General features: G+C 33.6%; 1 long non-coding RNA gene across 1 annotated transcript in view; it reads left to right on the forward strand.

The window, feature by feature from the left end:
• Positions 1-17,271, forward strand: part of DISC1FP1 (DISC1 fusion partner 1) — a 663,821-nt gene that overhangs the window by 543,242 nt on the left and 103,308 nt on the right. The window contains exon 4 of the long non-coding RNA NR_104190.1: positions 7,293-7,389. This is a non-coding gene — a long non-coding RNA (DISC1 fusion partner 1). The remainder of the gene's footprint in view (positions 1-7,292; positions 7,390-17,271) is intronic.

Genomic DNA, 17,271 nt, shown 5'->3' on the forward strand with positions numbered 1-17,271 from the left:
TTGAACAGAAACTAAGTACAAACCAATGAAGTTATCAACAACCAGTCTGTTTCCTTTATCTAGAATTTCTGATGTAAATTATCAATGAGTATTTAATGAGGTCCTACTTTAAGCCTATTGTCAATGCAGTTTTTTGTGAGTGAAATAATTGTATATCCACGTGGCCATGCCACCCCATATGCTGGACTTATCCTGTTTCTCACTATGTTCCCTCCCTTTATTATTAACCCCTCCCCTGTTTCTAAATTTAACTCCTAGGAAACTTAAGCCTTAAAAATAGAATATTATAACAGGAAAATTGGCTTGTTTCTGAAATTTCCTCAGTACTTTTATTTCCCACAGCGTGAAATCTTTTAGTTAGCGCTCCAAAACCGTAACAAAAGGATAGGTATAGACAACAGGAGGGCTGAGCCAGGAATCCATGTTCCTCACTACTTACTCTATCTCAATGGAGCATAATGTCCTCAGGGTATTTTTTGTTGTCACAATTAGGGGAGCACTACTCTCAAGGTAGGAGGAAATAGGCAATATGCTAGTATTCCTGCAATGTTCTAGAATGCCCCACCTATCAAAAATATTGTACATCATTCCATGGAACTTCCAAATATATTTATGCCTATTAATTAGTGTGAAAGTCATGTCTGTAGAAATATAATCTTAAAACATGTCTTCATATAACAGTTAAAATTATAGTAGTTTTCATCATTTGAATAGTCATTAAATTTTCCAGGAAAAAATATCATGTAAATAGATTGAATATTATATTTTCTATTGTTTGAAATTTCAACAGGAGTGGTTTATACCATTTAGAGAAAATCACATGAGTAGAAAGGTCACTTTTGGATATTTGAGTCATCAATATAACTTTCAATTTGAATTCATGTATGGTTCATTAATAATCCTATATACAGAAGCAAGCATATGATCATTCCATTAAGTTTTCTAGTAGCCATGCCACAGCATTTACATATTGAATACAAATTATAACAAATTATTTTTAGATTTCTTTTATAGATTACTAGATTACTGTTAGGACATTATGTTGATTTTTAAGTAATATGAATAAGTATTTAATATACTTTGTAAATTCCATTAGAATGCTAAAGAGGGCTTCATATCATAAAGTTATTAAAGAAGGACATAGGGCCTGCTAGGATTAAGAATCATAGTTCTATTATAAATAAAGTGATTATGGAAAAATAAAGGGCAAAAACTGAAAAAGAGAAAAAATGGCTTTCTGAATCAACTGGAGTCAGGTGGCAGAAGCGGTTTCAAGTGGCCGGCTGGTTAATTCAAAGGGCATTCGTTCTAAGAATGTGGAAAGAAGAAAGTGAGTAACGATGAAAACAGTCAGGGTCTAAAGGAGCTGCTAGCTGAGTGGGTGAGGGTACAATCAGTGGTGAGGGCAAGGCTAGAATGGTGTTTGGATTTCTGCTCAGCACAGAAGCTTTGTGTGCTAAGCTCCAGCCAGGCTATAGGACCTGTTCATAATGGAAACCAGAGCAATTAGATTGCCCTCCTCTGGTGCTTCCATTTATGTCTTCTTCCATTCTTTCCTGCATTTCGTTTCTGTGGGCCTCTTGTTTCTTGGTCAACAGTGTGAATGCTGGCCCCTTGCATTGCCTTCCCTTTAGGCCTTTCTGTTCTCACCTGGATTGCAATTCCTGAGGTGCTTTTTATCTCAGCTTCTGGTATCCACATGTGCCTGATGGATTGCTCTCTCCAAACTATAGTTTTGATTATGGGATCTGGGAAGGCCTAAATTTGTATGTGTTTGCTGAACTCCCACCTAGCACAGAATTTCTCCTAAAATAATCAACTACCCCTTACCCAATTATTTATTCTTTATCACTGCCCTGGGTCAAGTGCTGTCACATATACAGGGAGGTTACAATAGGACTTTTGAAAGATGATTTACTCTTTCAGTTTGTTTAGGTACCATTTAGCTGATGGCTTTCTTAGCACAACAAATGGAAAAATTCATTTCTCTTTTGAGCCCTGTAATCATTATGTGGATCCCAGAAAAATATCTTAGCAGAAGATGTTATCTAAGCCATTTGCCATAAAGTGAGACCATTTAACTGTTACAGGTTGGCAGACTTTTCACTAAAGGACTCCATAGTAAGCATTTTTGGCTTTGTAGTCCAGATAGTCTGCCATTGTAGTCAAAAGCAGCCCTACGCAAGGCATAAACACATGAATATGGCTTTTTCCTATAAAAATTTGTTTACAAAAATGGTAGGTGAGCTGGATTTGATCCACAGGCTATAGTTTAGTAACTTTGGACTATTAAATTGGCAGTTCTTAATTGCTTAGTAAATTAATTTGAAATTAAATTTGTTTTATCATTTTTTTTCCTGTTGTGTAGTCTATGCCTAAGATGTTTCCACTGTAAAACTTCTACTTTGCCCACCCAGATGAATCAGTCAAACTCACTTAAGATAGTCTGCGATATATAGTATTATGTTTACTCTATAAAGTATCCATTTACAATTTGTTAAGCCTTGTCAAAATTCTGCAGACAGGAATATAAATGATCAAACTAAAAACTGAAATAAAGTCCAAATTTATTATTGTAAGGAGATATCCTATTATTTTTCTTGCTCCCCTACCCCACTGTTAACTGCTTGAACTGCTTTGCAGTAGTTAAATCGTGTGACCAAAGTAACCTTTTTCAGACAATGAGAGCTAATTCAAAAAGCATCAGTGCTCCACACAATTAAAAGAATGAAAACATCAAAAATATGGTGCTAATGAAAACACATTAATGGAAAGATATTTACCTAGCCATTAGTAATACCATTATTCTTTTGGCTTAGTCAGGTAATAGTTGCGAGTATATGTGGAGAGAGATTGTTTCTCAATAAAAATAGTTCTCCAAATCTAATTATTTTACCATTTATCAAAATTTTTCACATGGTAGGTTGAAGGCAGCATTTCCAGAATTAAAATCAGAGCTTGAAAACTATACTTACACTGAATTTAATTTTAATTTAACATTTCTTTTTTGGATGACTTTCCCATTAAAAGTTTTACCTAAAGTATCTCAAATGAATGTTAATCTACATAATTTAAAACATTTAGGATTTTTAATATAGTGTTGAAGAGATAAGACCAAAGTCCAAGTTCTTAAACAGTGGTTTAGTGAAGTCTCTGATATGCTCTGAAGAAACTTTACATTTATTTTTGCAAAAAGAAAGAAAAACCTGTCATTTCTCACAAATAATTAAGAAATTTTGCATTTTGCTCTTTTCTGTATCTTAACTCTATCAAATTATATTTTTTTCATTTATCTATTTAGCAAATACTTATTGAGGGATTTCTACATCCAAGGCTTGTTTTTGCAAAGGTAAACAGACATGATTCTTGTTCTTATGGAGTTTCCAGGCAAAAAGAGGGACCAGAATAAACACATAAATGAAGAAATAACATTGATTTAAAATGTAACCAATTGTTATATAGGCAGAGATAACAGGATAGGCATGGTGTAGGGGAGACAGAGATCATCTCCAACCTCCCTGTAGCTCTTATGTGGGCTCTTTGGCTGTATCTAGAAACCAAATTGACTCCAGGCAGATTAATGAGAGAAAGGCATACAAATTTTATTAGTTTCACATGTGCATAGGAATCTTCACAAGAGAATGAACTCCCCAAAGAAGTGGCCAAGGCAAGATGTGTTTATACATTTTAGACAAAGAATGATACATTTGAGAGGAAATGATGGGACAAAGAAAAGCTGACTGGGACAGTAAATTTCTAGAAGAGTCACTAGGAAATATATTGGTGGGAGTTGGGGGTGCAGATCCAGTGGAAGATAAAGGTTCCTTCGTTATGTATATTTATTCAGCTTCATTGCAGCCACTAACTCCCAGTCTCTGGTGATAAGGGCTATTTTCTCACCCTTGTATGAAGAGGATATCCCTCCCAAAGGAATCTTTATAGCTTGCTGCATGCAGGATGAAACGGTCAGCTAATCCATTTTGAAACTACATTTTTTCCATTTTTTTAACTCAAAATAATCAATATACTAATTTGGTGCATTTCGGGATGGCACATCGTTTACTCTTTCAGCAGTATAGCGTGAGCTGTGCATATGAAAGGAAGATACATGTCCTTTTTGTTGTACATACATACTCTGATCCAAAGGGGTCATTCACAGAGAATTCAAGGGGATCAGTATGTCTTGTGTTGGTAACAAGATGTTCCTCATACAGTGACAGAAAACAATAGTGTGATGGGGGATAGGGAGAAAGGGAAAACATGAGAAGAGAGATATGCCTTTTGCATATGGTAATCAGGAAAGATCCTTTGGGGGAGTTTATAAACAGAGCGGAAAGCAAATTCAGTCATGTTATCACAGGGAAAGCGTTTTCTAGGAAGAGAATACAACAAAAACCAAAACCATAACTGTGGAAAGACAGTTGTTTCTTTGAGGAAATGTAAAAAATAAAAAGATCAATGTGATTGAAGCTAAACCATGTGGCATGTGGTGACAGAGTAAGAATTCTAAGTGACTTTTTGAGTAACAGCAAAGATTTTCAATTTCATCAGTGCGAAGGGAAACAATTGAAGAAAGGGTAATGTGATCTGATGTGTTTTCAGAGGAAGCTTGACAGCTTTATAGGTTAAAGGTGCTTGTAAAGAGACCATTTAGGAAGCTATTTCATTGGATCATGATAGTGTAGTAGATATCAAGAGAAATAGACTAATCTAAGATATATTGTAGGGAAGGAATTCACAAGAATTTGCATTTATTTATTCAAAACACACTTGCTGATTACATGAAGCATAATGATATCCTGTGTGGGCAGCTAGAATGGATAGAACTATAAACTAAAATATCTAATCAGACTTCTATAATAACGCCAGATAATTTGACCTGGACTGGAATTTTCATTGTCATTCAAACAGACTAAGCTTTTTATTTAAAAAAATATTTAAAAGATGATAGAAAATTTGGCTGGACGCTTGTAATCCCACTACTTTGGGAGGCCAAGGCAGTTGGTGGATCTCTTGACCCCAGGAGTTCAAGACCAACCTGGGCAACATAGCAAAACCTCATCTCAACAAAAATAAAAAAAAATAGCCAGGCATGGTGGAGCACACCTGTGGTCTCAGCTACTTCAGAGACTCAGTTTGGGGATCCCTTGAGCCCAGGAGAGGCTGCAGTGAGCCGAGATCACACCACTGCACTTCAGCCTGGGTGACAGAGTGAGACCCTGTCTCAAAAGAAAAGAAATAAAGGAAAAAAATTCAAAGCACAAATAAATTCCTCTCTTACGTAAGAAATCCCTTTAATCAGAATGATGAACTGCCTGAATGAATCTAAACTATTGGTTTTAATAATCCCTTGCTTACTTTTTGTTTCACAGATTTTCTAGGGCAGAAAACACTTCATTAAAATAACCTTAGTGGTTAAATGAGACATTTCCTAGTATTCTTTGCCAATTCACTTCCATTAAATATTCATTCGTTAGGCAATATTTAAAATAATCAACACATGCCAAATCACTGCTTTGTGCCTGACATTAGAGATCAATAATAGTAATAAAAGTCAAAGTGGTCATTTTTCTCTTGACACCATATTATCTTATGTGGCAATAATTTTGTGTTTTGTTCAATATCATGGCCCATTATAGTCAAATGTCACAGACTTTTATATTTGTTTATTGCTTAATTTTAGACTTTGAATCTTTTCATTTATTTATATATTTTTATTTTTATAATGAATTTTTTTCCAGAGGATATAAACGGCCCATACTTTTGAGTTCCATTTAGAGAATAAAACTTGTTAATGGAAATTGATTGTTTTTTTCATGAAAAATAATATAAATTACTGTTGAGATCTTTGTTTTAGTTTATGATGGAAATGTAAATATCACACCTTCATTAAATAATATTGGCATTAATATTTTAAAATGTAATGTTGTATAGAAGGTCACACATCATCACTGAAACACTATAAAGTACCAGCTATCTCAAAGTGTTTAATTTCTTTACAGAGATAAACTTGAGACTTCCAATTTAATACTAGAAACTTCATGATCAAGGCCATGAATGAGATCTACTAGCCTATTTTTTCATTGAGTCTATCTTTAGAATTCTAACATTCTTGAAATTTCCCTGAAAAAAAAGATGGGTAGAGAAAACTTGATTATTACCTATAATGCTATTTCTTAAGATACACCAAATCAACATAATTTGAAAAATAGTAATATTTGACAGCTTCATCCTATATTCATCGTTTGAAATCCTATATGTGTACATCTTTATAATTGAATCCCACAGATGGGGCATCAATATGACTATGACACTTTTGCAGGAAATAAATGGAATTCCAGAATATGGCTAAATTCTTGATTAACTTCTGTTAAGAAAAGGGTCTTATTTAATTATTTTTGTAGAGTACCTATTATATTCAGGCATGCATTTCTGCATTCTCTTTTTGAGACTCCTATCACAATTTGTCTAATATAATTTCTTTACCCACTACCAGGCTTTCACTTCAAAGTTCTTTAGCCAGCAATCAATCAAATAACACCTCTTTCTCTAAGTCCCAGGAGAAGATGTCAATTTTGGCAGAATGAGTTCAGGAAAAGCAATACCTGCCACGATCATAGTCTAGTTTATTTATAAAATGCTGAAAATCTAGATAAGACATTCACCTCAAATATTGTAGGAAAGGAAACATATTTTTTCCCTTTTTGGTTTATACTTAAGACATCCTCCTGAAAACAAAAGTCAGGTTTATTAAAAAGAAAAAAAAGAGATATAATTGTGTGCTATACCCATTATACAGGACAGGACTCAGTTTAAAAGTATTTTCCTTTTAAAGCAGTAGCTTAGGGGCCCTAAGTAAAGACCCTCATTATTAACAAGGCAATGAAGGTTGAGATAATTAAGGCATATTTCTGAGAGCTTGGTGCATTTGGACAAACAGACATTTCAGACTCCCAGCTGGCCTCCCAGCTGGCCTCCCAGCTGGCTAACTGACATGAACCCAACAATTTATGTCCTCCAGGGTGGTAGAAATCAAAGAATTAATTCACTGGTTACAAAGCCAAGTTTCTCAAGAAACAAAACAAAATGAAAATAGAACCTTATTATGATTTTATTCCTCATGACAAACCACAAAAAGAGAGAGAGACAAGGAAAACAAAGATCCTTGGAAAACTAAAAATCAATAACCAAGTAGGTACCCCCAACAGATAATTATTATAAATGTTTTTTCGCCAATCAGAAACTAGAAAGGAAGAGACAAGAAACAATTTTTACTTTCTTTTCTTGACCAGGTACCACAGATAGAAGCCTTGAGAAGCTTACTTTGGTCAGAAATTTTGCCTTTGTCTGCAGGCTTCTACCAGTTCGATTCCATCTGTGGGTCTTAGGGTGAGTAAAGTGCATCTGCTAGTCCCATATGGGTCGCCAAATTGTAGAGAAGAAAAAATACTTTTTCTTTGTTTTTAGAATTTTAGTTGAAACACTTTCCTGAAAACAAAAGTCAGATTAACAACAACAACAATAGCAACAACACCCCAGAAGTTTATTAATGTGTGCCGTACCTGTCATGTGGGAGAAGCCTCAGCTTAAAAGTATTTTTCTCTTAAGGCGGTAGTTAGGGGCCTTGTTTAAGTAGTAGTTTAGTAAAGAGTCATAACTCATATTAATGACAAAGAAGAGAGCATCTTGAGGCTTTTCAATGGCAAGAAAATGTGTGAAGGTAAATTTAGGGGAAGACTAAAGTCTGTTCTTAGATCCTCTGGTGCCATTGTCTCTGAGCTCTGTTTCTGAGCTCATCAGCAAGTGTTGTAAATGGAATTACATTTAGATGGGAAAGGCAGAGAAGAGTGGCAGAGTGTGTCCCTGCATTTTAGCCTTTCTTTTTAGCTAAACAATCTCCAGTATTTTAGAGAGTAATATTTTGGTTTCCTTTGATAATAGTTATTTTAACATCATTTTGATTCTAGCAATGAAATATGCAGATAGGTGGGAAAGAGATTTTTTTCCACCATGGTATAGACCAAAATAGTAAAAAAAAAAACACTTTTAATTTATGAACATTATTTTTTAATCCGGTTTTCCTCTATTGAGTCTTTTAGAACAATTTTAAGCCATTACTGTGGTACATAACTTTGCAAAATATTAGAGCTAGGGATATCAGACTCTTAGCTCAAAGGTGGAGATATTTTTCAACACACACATGAAAAATGAAAATAGAATATATTTCTTTGCTTACAATACTTGGGTAATAAAATTTTCTTAGGCTTTGGGGCAAAAGTATCTCGATATGTATATATAATAAGAAAAAGTGATTCACAAATTTAATTATATATCAGAATCTCTCAGAGAGCTTAATAAACAGTATCATAGTCTAAAATCTTGCAGGGTAGGGCCCTGGAAACTGATTTTGTAAATATTTCTCAGAGAGTAAAAGGAGTAACAAGTATAAGGCATAGTTATAAAATAGAGACATCTTGGTTATACAAAAAGTAATTGTACATTAAATAACATATTATACATTAAAATTATGTTTGAAATCATATATAGATTAATTCAGATATTTAATATATTACTGTGTGAAACTGATTTATTCATTTATATCTGTATCTCTTTAATATTTCTATTACTTAGCATAATTCTATATAGTAGTCACTCAAGAGATTTTTGTGGTATGATTATATAAATTAAAAAATCTAATAACAGGAAATAGATCTTATGCTACTCCATATCTTTTGGTTTCTAAGAGAGTTTTTTGAAAATAACAACAAAAGTCCTTCTGTATACATAAATTTAGCAACTATTATTGAGAGAGAGAAAGAGAGTCAGGGAGAGGAAAGAAACAGAAGTTAATACACACAGGTATACGCACACACAAATGAAGACAAAAAGAGACATAACTAGACAACATGAAGAAGGTGATTCTGATTCGGTTTTGGTGATGACAGAATAGTTTTAATTGAATTAACCACCCCCCCACCCCAGTGATAATACATAAATCCTGGGAAAAGTATTAAAAACAAACTGTATGAAGGCACAGGTAAGTGACTAATGCAGAAAGAATCTAGAAGGAATGTGTCTTTTGAAAGAAAACCACATTGATGAAATCAATCTGTATATAGCTTCCCCTCAAGGGCAGCACCTGAAAATATAATGAGGCCGCTAGAACTCAAGCAGAGGGTCGCAGTGTTTGTGGACTTAAAAGTCAAAGGGAAGAAATATAAAAACCAGAAAAGCTGGCAATTTCAGGGAATATAAGTAGGAAGAACCTTCAAGAAGGAAAGACCTCAAAATGAAAATAAATTCTCTTTAAATCATTGGCTGACACGCATGTGCAGGTGAGATTATAAGCATATTAGAAAGAGACAATAACTAAAAGACTGAAATAAGTTAGCATAGATTACAGCTGCTGTCCACTACAGGGATAAAAGAGTTTGGAGTTCAAGTCCCGTGAAATTAGCAAGACTTCAAAGTGTATTAGACTTCTCACTAAAATGCACCCCGCCGCGCCCTCCCCCCGCAAAAAAAAAAACAAGCTAACCTTTTGAGTAAATTCTAGGAAGGCGTTAGGCATAAAGCCAAAACTAATACATTCATCCTAAAATTAACAGCAAAAGCAAAGTAGACTTACCCTAACAAAGCATAGAACTAAATTATGAATGGTTGAAAGTGACTTATCAGTAATTAAACTGCTTAATACAACAATACTTAACATTGTTTAGGGGAAGATAAGAAAATACGGGAGGTCTATACAATGTGTCATCCATATTTCTGGAATACAATAAAAATAATGGGATAAAAGAAAACAGAAAAAGTTTGATTCATTGTCAAGAGAAAATTTATGAAAGAGAAGTAGATGTACTAACAACCCAGTTGTTGTAAGGAGCAGACATGTACTTTAAAATAACTATAATAAATATATGAAAGAAACTGTAGAAAAAGATAAATGAAGGTAAAGATTTTCAGAAAGTATTTGGAAATTATAAAAACTATAAAAGTATAAATTTACAAAACTAAAAATTATAAACATTACTTAGGAAATATTAGAAATGAAGAAAATGCAAAATCTAAAAAAGAATAGCAGATTAGAAACAGTAGATGAGAGTATCAGTGAACCAGAAAACAGGTAAAAATAAATCTAGAGGGGGAAAATCAAGAAAGCTTATTGGTTGGTGAGACACTATCAAATGAGTTAATAAATATATATTTGAAATATCAAAAGAGAAGATAAGATTAGGGTAATAAATTTTTGAAGAAATATGGGCTAAAAAATTCCCAGGTATGATCAAAAAGGGGAGACTGCATATCCAAGAAGCTCAGCAAATACCATGAAATTACAAAGCAAATTTTACCTACGAATATCATAATCAAATTTCAGAAGAGAAAACCATTAAAAGCAAGAGAAGAAAAAAACAAATTATGTAAAGTAAAACATTAATATTGTTGAAAGCTGAATTTCCATCAGTAATGAAAGCCAGAAGAAAATGGCATAACAACTTTAAAGTGTTGAAAGAATTATTTCCATGTAGAATTCTATATCCTGTAAAATTTTTCTCCAAAATACATACAAAATAAGGACATTTTTGGGAAAACTGAGAGCTGAAAGAATTTGTCACAAGTAGACCTGTGCTATCAAACACACACACATGCACACACACACTTGCACACACGCACACACACACACCCCCCCCAGAACAAAAACAAAAGAATACTCTTTGGCCGAAGGAAAATGACACCATATGGAAAGTAAATTCCACAGAAAAAAAGGAATAGTACTTGAAATGTTAAATATATGGATAAATATATTAGATAAGTTTTCTATCTTTAAAAACTTTAAATTACGTAAAGCATGAGTCATAACAAATAAATGTGAAGTATGTAAGGTATGTAGGTATAAAGTACGTAACAGTAGTACAAAGTGTGGGTAGAGCTACATATGTAATTATAGAGTAACCAGTTTGTTACATATTATGTAAAAATGGTAATATGAAATAAGACAGTATGCAGTAAGCTATACCACAGAAAATCTCCAGAGAAACTACTTAAAAATATAGAGATGTAAATTTAAAGTCAAAATGTGAGTTAGATTTAAATAGTAAAAGTTATTGGCTTTACCAAGATAAAAAAGAAAAGGAAGAAAAGATAAATAAAGATAGTAGAGACAAATAGAAAATAGCAAAATAATGGGCATAAATTCAACTATATTGACTATTTAAAAGTCAGAGATTGACTAGATTAAATAGAAATATCTGACTAAATATAAGGAAAGCAAGTAACATCTAAAAACAATTGTTTTATTAATAACAGGATGAAAACCGAAATATCATGCAAAAGTCATCATTGGATAGCTGAAATGACTATACTAATATCAGAAAAAACAGACTGGAAAGTAGATTCTTTATCCAGAGATAACGAAGTTGGTTGTATATTAATACAAGTGTTAATTCATTCAAGTATAAAAATTCTAAATGAATATGGGCTTCATTGGTGCTTCGAAGTGCATGAAATAAAGATTGTCAGGTTTATGTAGGGAAATAAAGAGATCCACAAATTGTAGATTTTGTTAATTCTCTCTCATTGACAGAAAAAATCAGTAATTATATAGAAAATTTGAACAACCTTTAAGCAATTTGAATTAATTTACATTTAAAGACTGACACATATAAAAAAATTCCAGATTACACATTTTTTCCAGTAACCATGATGTATTTACCAAGATAGATAATGTATCTTCTCATAGAATAGGACACAATTAATTGTTAAGTCTTGAAGTCACTCAAAGTGTCTTTTATGAGTGTCTTAGTTGTAAATTAGAACTAAATAACCAAAATAAATCTAGAAAATGTCAAAACATTTGGAAAACATGCAATTATAAATCACCTATGGGATAAAAAACAAAACACAAGGGGAATTGAAACCTAATTTGGCCTGAACATTAATGAAACTACAACACATTTGTGGGGTGCAGATAAAGCTTTGTTTAGAGGAGATATATATAAGATTATATGCTTATAATAAAATAGAGATTCAACATCAATTATCTACACTTTCATATCAAGCTAAAAAAACTAGCAAAACAGAGAGAAAGTAGAAGAAAAAGAATAATAAATAGAACAATGAGAAATCAATGGGCTATATATTACAAATAATAGAAGAAATCATAAGGCCAAAAGTTTGCTGGCTGGTTGCAGTGGCTTATTCCTATAATCCCAGCACTTTGGGAGGCTGAGGCAGGAGGATCTTTTGATCCCAGGAGTTCAAGAACAGCCTGGGCAACATAGTGAGATGCCATCTCTACAAAAAAAGTAACAAAGTAGTCAAGTATAGTGGCACATCCCTGTAGCCCCAGTGTATTAGCCTGTTCTTGCATTGCTATGAAGAAATACCCAAGACAGGATAATTAATAAAAGACATTTAATTGGCTTATGGTTCCACAGGTTGTACAGGATACATGATGCTGGCATCTGCTAGGCTTCTGGGGAGGCCTCAGGAAACTTACAATAATGGAGGTAGGTTAAGGGGAAGTAGGCACTTCACATGGCCAGAGTAGGAGCAAGAAACAGAGATGGGTGGGGGGGTGCTACACACTTTTAAACAACCAGATCTCACAAGAACTCACTATCACAACAACAGCATCAAGGGGTTGGTCTAAACCATTTGTGAGAAACCTGTCCCCATGAGCTAATCACCTCCTACCAGCCTCTACCACCAACACTAGGTATTACAGTTCAACGTGAGATTTGAGCAGGAACTCAGATCTAAATCATATCACCCAGCTACTCAGGAAGCTAAGAGAGGAGGATAGCTGGAGCCCAGAAGTTGGAGGCAGTAGTGAGCTATGCTCATACCACCACATTCCAGCCTGTGTGATAGAGGGGAGACTGCAACTCTTAAAGAGGGTTGCTCTTTGAAGGGTAATACAATTGATTTTATTGACTAGAAAATCTAATCATGAAAAACTGAAAAGAGAATGAATGAGAGAAAGGAAACACATTACTGATATCAATAATATTTGCAAAGATAACACTATGGATCCTAAAGACATCAAAAAGATAATGAGGAAATATTATAAGTGGCTTTATGCCATCAACTTTGTAATTAAATAGCATAATATTTTTAAAAACATAACTCCAAATATAACACAAGAAGAAATAAAAAATCTAAATAGCTACATATTTACTAAAGATACTAAATTTGTAATAGACATTTCATGGGGAAGATAAAAAATTTTCATATAGGTCATAAAAACTATCAGTTAAAAAAAGTAATTAATTGGAATTTATTAAGGTCAAAATCTTCTGTTTTTCAAAAGTCAGTGTAAGAACGTGAAAAGACAAGCCATATATTGGAAGATAATATTCACAATACTTTCTAACAAAGGACTTACCCAGAATTTATACAGAAGTACAAATTAATAATTAAAATATTTGAAAAGCACATTAAAGAATATATAGACTACATATTATATATAATATATATTTTAACATATATGGCTAATAAACACAGGAAAAAAATGTTCCTTGTCAATAGTCATCAATGAAATACATGCTAACTAACTTTCAGGTATGACTACACTACCAGTAGAAAGACAAGAAAACCAAACAGACAAAAATCTGACAATAGCAAATATTATCAAGAATATGGAGTAATTCAGATTATCATATTTTTTGGTGTGTAAAATACTACAACCACTTTGAAAAATTCTTCTGCAGGTTTTTTAAAATTAGGTTCAGGTATACACATACAGGTTTGTTATGTAGGTAAGTTGCGTGTCATAGGCATTTGGTAGACAGATTATTTCATCACCCAGGTAATAAGTATATTACCCAATAGGTAGTTTTTCGATCAAATTAAATGTGCACTTACCCTTTGAACCAGAAATTTACCTTAGATAAATGAAAACATACATCTACCAAAACACTTGTATTCAAATGACAAGCAATATAAAGGAATATAAAATATTAAATATATTAAATGAAAAAATCTACAGTTATAAAAATCTTTTTATATTTCTTCAATATGAAATAAAAAAATTGGTAAATCTAAACTATTTTGACATAAATAAAAACAGTCACTACCTCTGGGTGGAGGCATTGCCAACAAAAGGGCACAAGTATATTTTCTGCATTGATAGAAATTTTCTATTTTCTTTTTTTGTTGTTTTTGGATAGTTGTTACTTGGGTATATGTAGTCGTTACAATTCATCTAACTGTGCGTATAAATAAGTGCATTTTACTGTTTATACATTTTAGCTCAATAAGCTAGAAATGCATTCCAAGCTAGAGAAAATTATAAAGTTGACTATAGCAATTGCATATAATATATAAGCAAATAAAACCCTCAAGCATGAGAAAGTGATAAAACTATTCTAAAATTGTATGTGTTGCAACGTGAAGAGCTATGGCTAAGAGGACTGGGACAGAAGGAAAAGGGGAGTGGAAAGAAGAGAAAGTATTCCAGGTAAGAGGAGATTTTAGGAAAATAAGAGAAATAATTAAGACGTGTGTAGGTAATCAGTATTTTCTCTATCAGCACTATAAAGTATTATGAGATAACTGTATTTGTATTCATATAAGCTCCTCTCTTTCCCTGTACATAATGTGTATACCAGAAGAGAACTATAAAAAATTATTCTGTTTAAAAAAAAAATAAGTAAAAGCCAAAAGTTGTGAAATATTAGAAGGGCTATTGAAAAATGGGAGAAATATATTATTTCTAAAACAAGAATTATGTCTCCTCTTTGTGGAATAATTTCTATACCCTATATTTAGGAAAGAAATGGACTTGATGTATTACTGACCATGGCTGGGCATGAGAATTGTCCTCAGGATTTATTTAAAACAGGGATCCTCAGGTACTACTCTGGGAGATTCTGTCTTAGTAGAACAGGAATTTGTAATGGAATTTGTCCCTAGAAACTTTTTTTTTTTTTTTTTTTTTTTTTGAGACAGAGTTTCACTCTTGTTGCCCAGGCTGGAGAGCAATGGCACAACCTCGGCTCACCGCAGCCTCTGCCTCCCTGGTTCAAGTGATTCTCCTGCCTCAGCCTCCTGAGTAGAGGGGACTATAGGCATGCACCACCACGCCTGACTAAGTTTTTTTGTATTTTTAGTAGAGACGGGTTTTCTGCATGTTGGTCTGGCTGGTCTTGAACTCCTGACCTCAGGTGATCTGCCCGCCTCAGCCTCCCAAACTTCTGGGATTACAGGCATGAGCCACCGCTCCCGGCCCCTGGAATCTATTTTTAACAAGCTCAGTTAGGTAATTCTGATGTAGGCAGCCTCATATTACCATTCTTCAGAGTGCTGTTTGGAACACTTTGGCCGGATGAACACTCAAAGTACACTCATTCTTCTGTCCTAACATGCTTAACACAGTGCAAAATCAAGAAGGCAACATTTAAAATTTTTGACCCACTTTTGAAATTTAGTAAAATAGAAAACTATTGGATGAAACAGTGCATGATTTGCAACTTAAGGAAGCAGAATAAGATTATCTCTGCAAGTAAAGTGATTTTATATTCTTTTGTATTTTTAAGGAACAATTTCAAATTAAAATAAATATTTTATCATTTGAATAATGTTTTTTGAACAGTTTTTACTATTATCTGTCAAGATCAATGCCTTAAGTTGACTTATCAACCCAAAAGTGGAAAACATGACTCAAACTTGCCTTCCAACTTCAATGTACTCAGTTAACTTTTGAAAATAAACTCATTTGTGTTGCTGAGCAAAAGATTGTATTGCATGAATATGTCACAGGCATCAGGTGAATATTTCACAGAGATCAAAATGCCCTCTTATAATGTAATACAATGCAAAAGACCACAGAGTTTTTTTTTTTTAAATATACTTTCAAACTGCAAAGGAATTGAGTTTATTATATTAATAGTAATGCATATTGTTATGGTATTTGAAGTAATAGCCTTCCCAAGTGAATAGTTGCTGTATTATATTCTAATTTTTGTTTGTTTGTTTGTTTTAACGGGAATGTCTAGTAAATCAAAGACCATTTGTTTTCCATTTCTCTGAATTTTCAGTGTCAGGATATGTAACATCATTCGTATCTGGCACACCTCTATGTACCAGTGAAGGTATGATAACCCAGTGCAAAGAAGTACATGAAAGAAGAAAAAATTAAGCAAGTTAAAAAACAAAACAAAACAATAACAACAACAACAACAAAAAAACACAGATGTTCGGAGGAAATACTGAAAGGCAGTTAAACTTTTTTTTTGAGATAGAGTCTTTCTCTGTCGCCCAGGCTGGAGTGCAGTGGCGCCATCTCGGCTCACTGCAAGCTCCGCCTCTCGGGTTCACGCCATTCTACTGTCTCAGCCTCTGGAGTAGCTGGGAATACAGGCGCCCGCCACCACGCCCTGCTAATTTTTTGCATTTTTTTTTAGTAGAGAAGTTGTTTCACCGTGTTAGCCAGGATGGTATCGCTCTCCTGACCTCATGATCCACCCTCCTCGGCCTCCCAAAGTGCTGGATTTACAGGCTTGAGCCCCCGCGCCCGGCCAACTTTGGTTTTTATTGGACATTGGGAAAGCTTTCCTATTGTATCAGTGCTCCTTTTCAGCTGAATTTACCCAACAAGTGCTGCAATCTCACTGACATCCATTACCACATTAAAAGTTATGAGGAGAAGAGGGGAGAAAGAACTAGGATGGGTTGTCAAGTAATTAGTTATTATAGCTAAAGTAGACAAATCCGTTAAGAATGAGAAATATGTAGAGAAATAACAAAGCATTTTGAATTAGAATACCTGAGTTGAAATAATGATTTTTTTTTTTTACATATCGAGCTTCACAATATTGAACAAGTTATTTAGAATGCTTGCCCCTCACTGTTCTGATCTATAAAATATAGATAACAATGCTTTCTGAAAGGGTTGTGGACAGGATTAACAGTTTAAAAAATCTTAGCATGATATCTACAATTTAAACAATGTAGTAGAAACTCAGTCTGCTTAGGCAGAACTTATTTTATGTTTTCCTTGGGTATGAGAAGTTGTACTTGCTACCTAAAAGGCCAGAAGATGATCATCTAAAACTAATTGAAAGGTATAACAAAAAGAAACAATAGTAGTAACAAAAATAACCGATATTTATAAAACACCTCCAATGAACTACATGTGCTAAATACTTTAGATTTTTAACCTCTGAACAATCCAAAGAAGTAAGCACCATTGCTTTCATTTTGTAATAAATATCTTAGGCACCCAGAGAGATGAGTTCATTTGCCCAAGATTACTCTAGTGATTGACTCTAA

Source organism: Homo sapiens, chromosome 11 (assembly GCF_000001405.40).
Source record: "Homo sapiens chromosome 11, GRCh38.p14 Primary Assembly".
Lineage (NCBI taxonomy): Eukaryota > Metazoa > Chordata > Mammalia > Primates > Hominidae > Homo > Homo sapiens.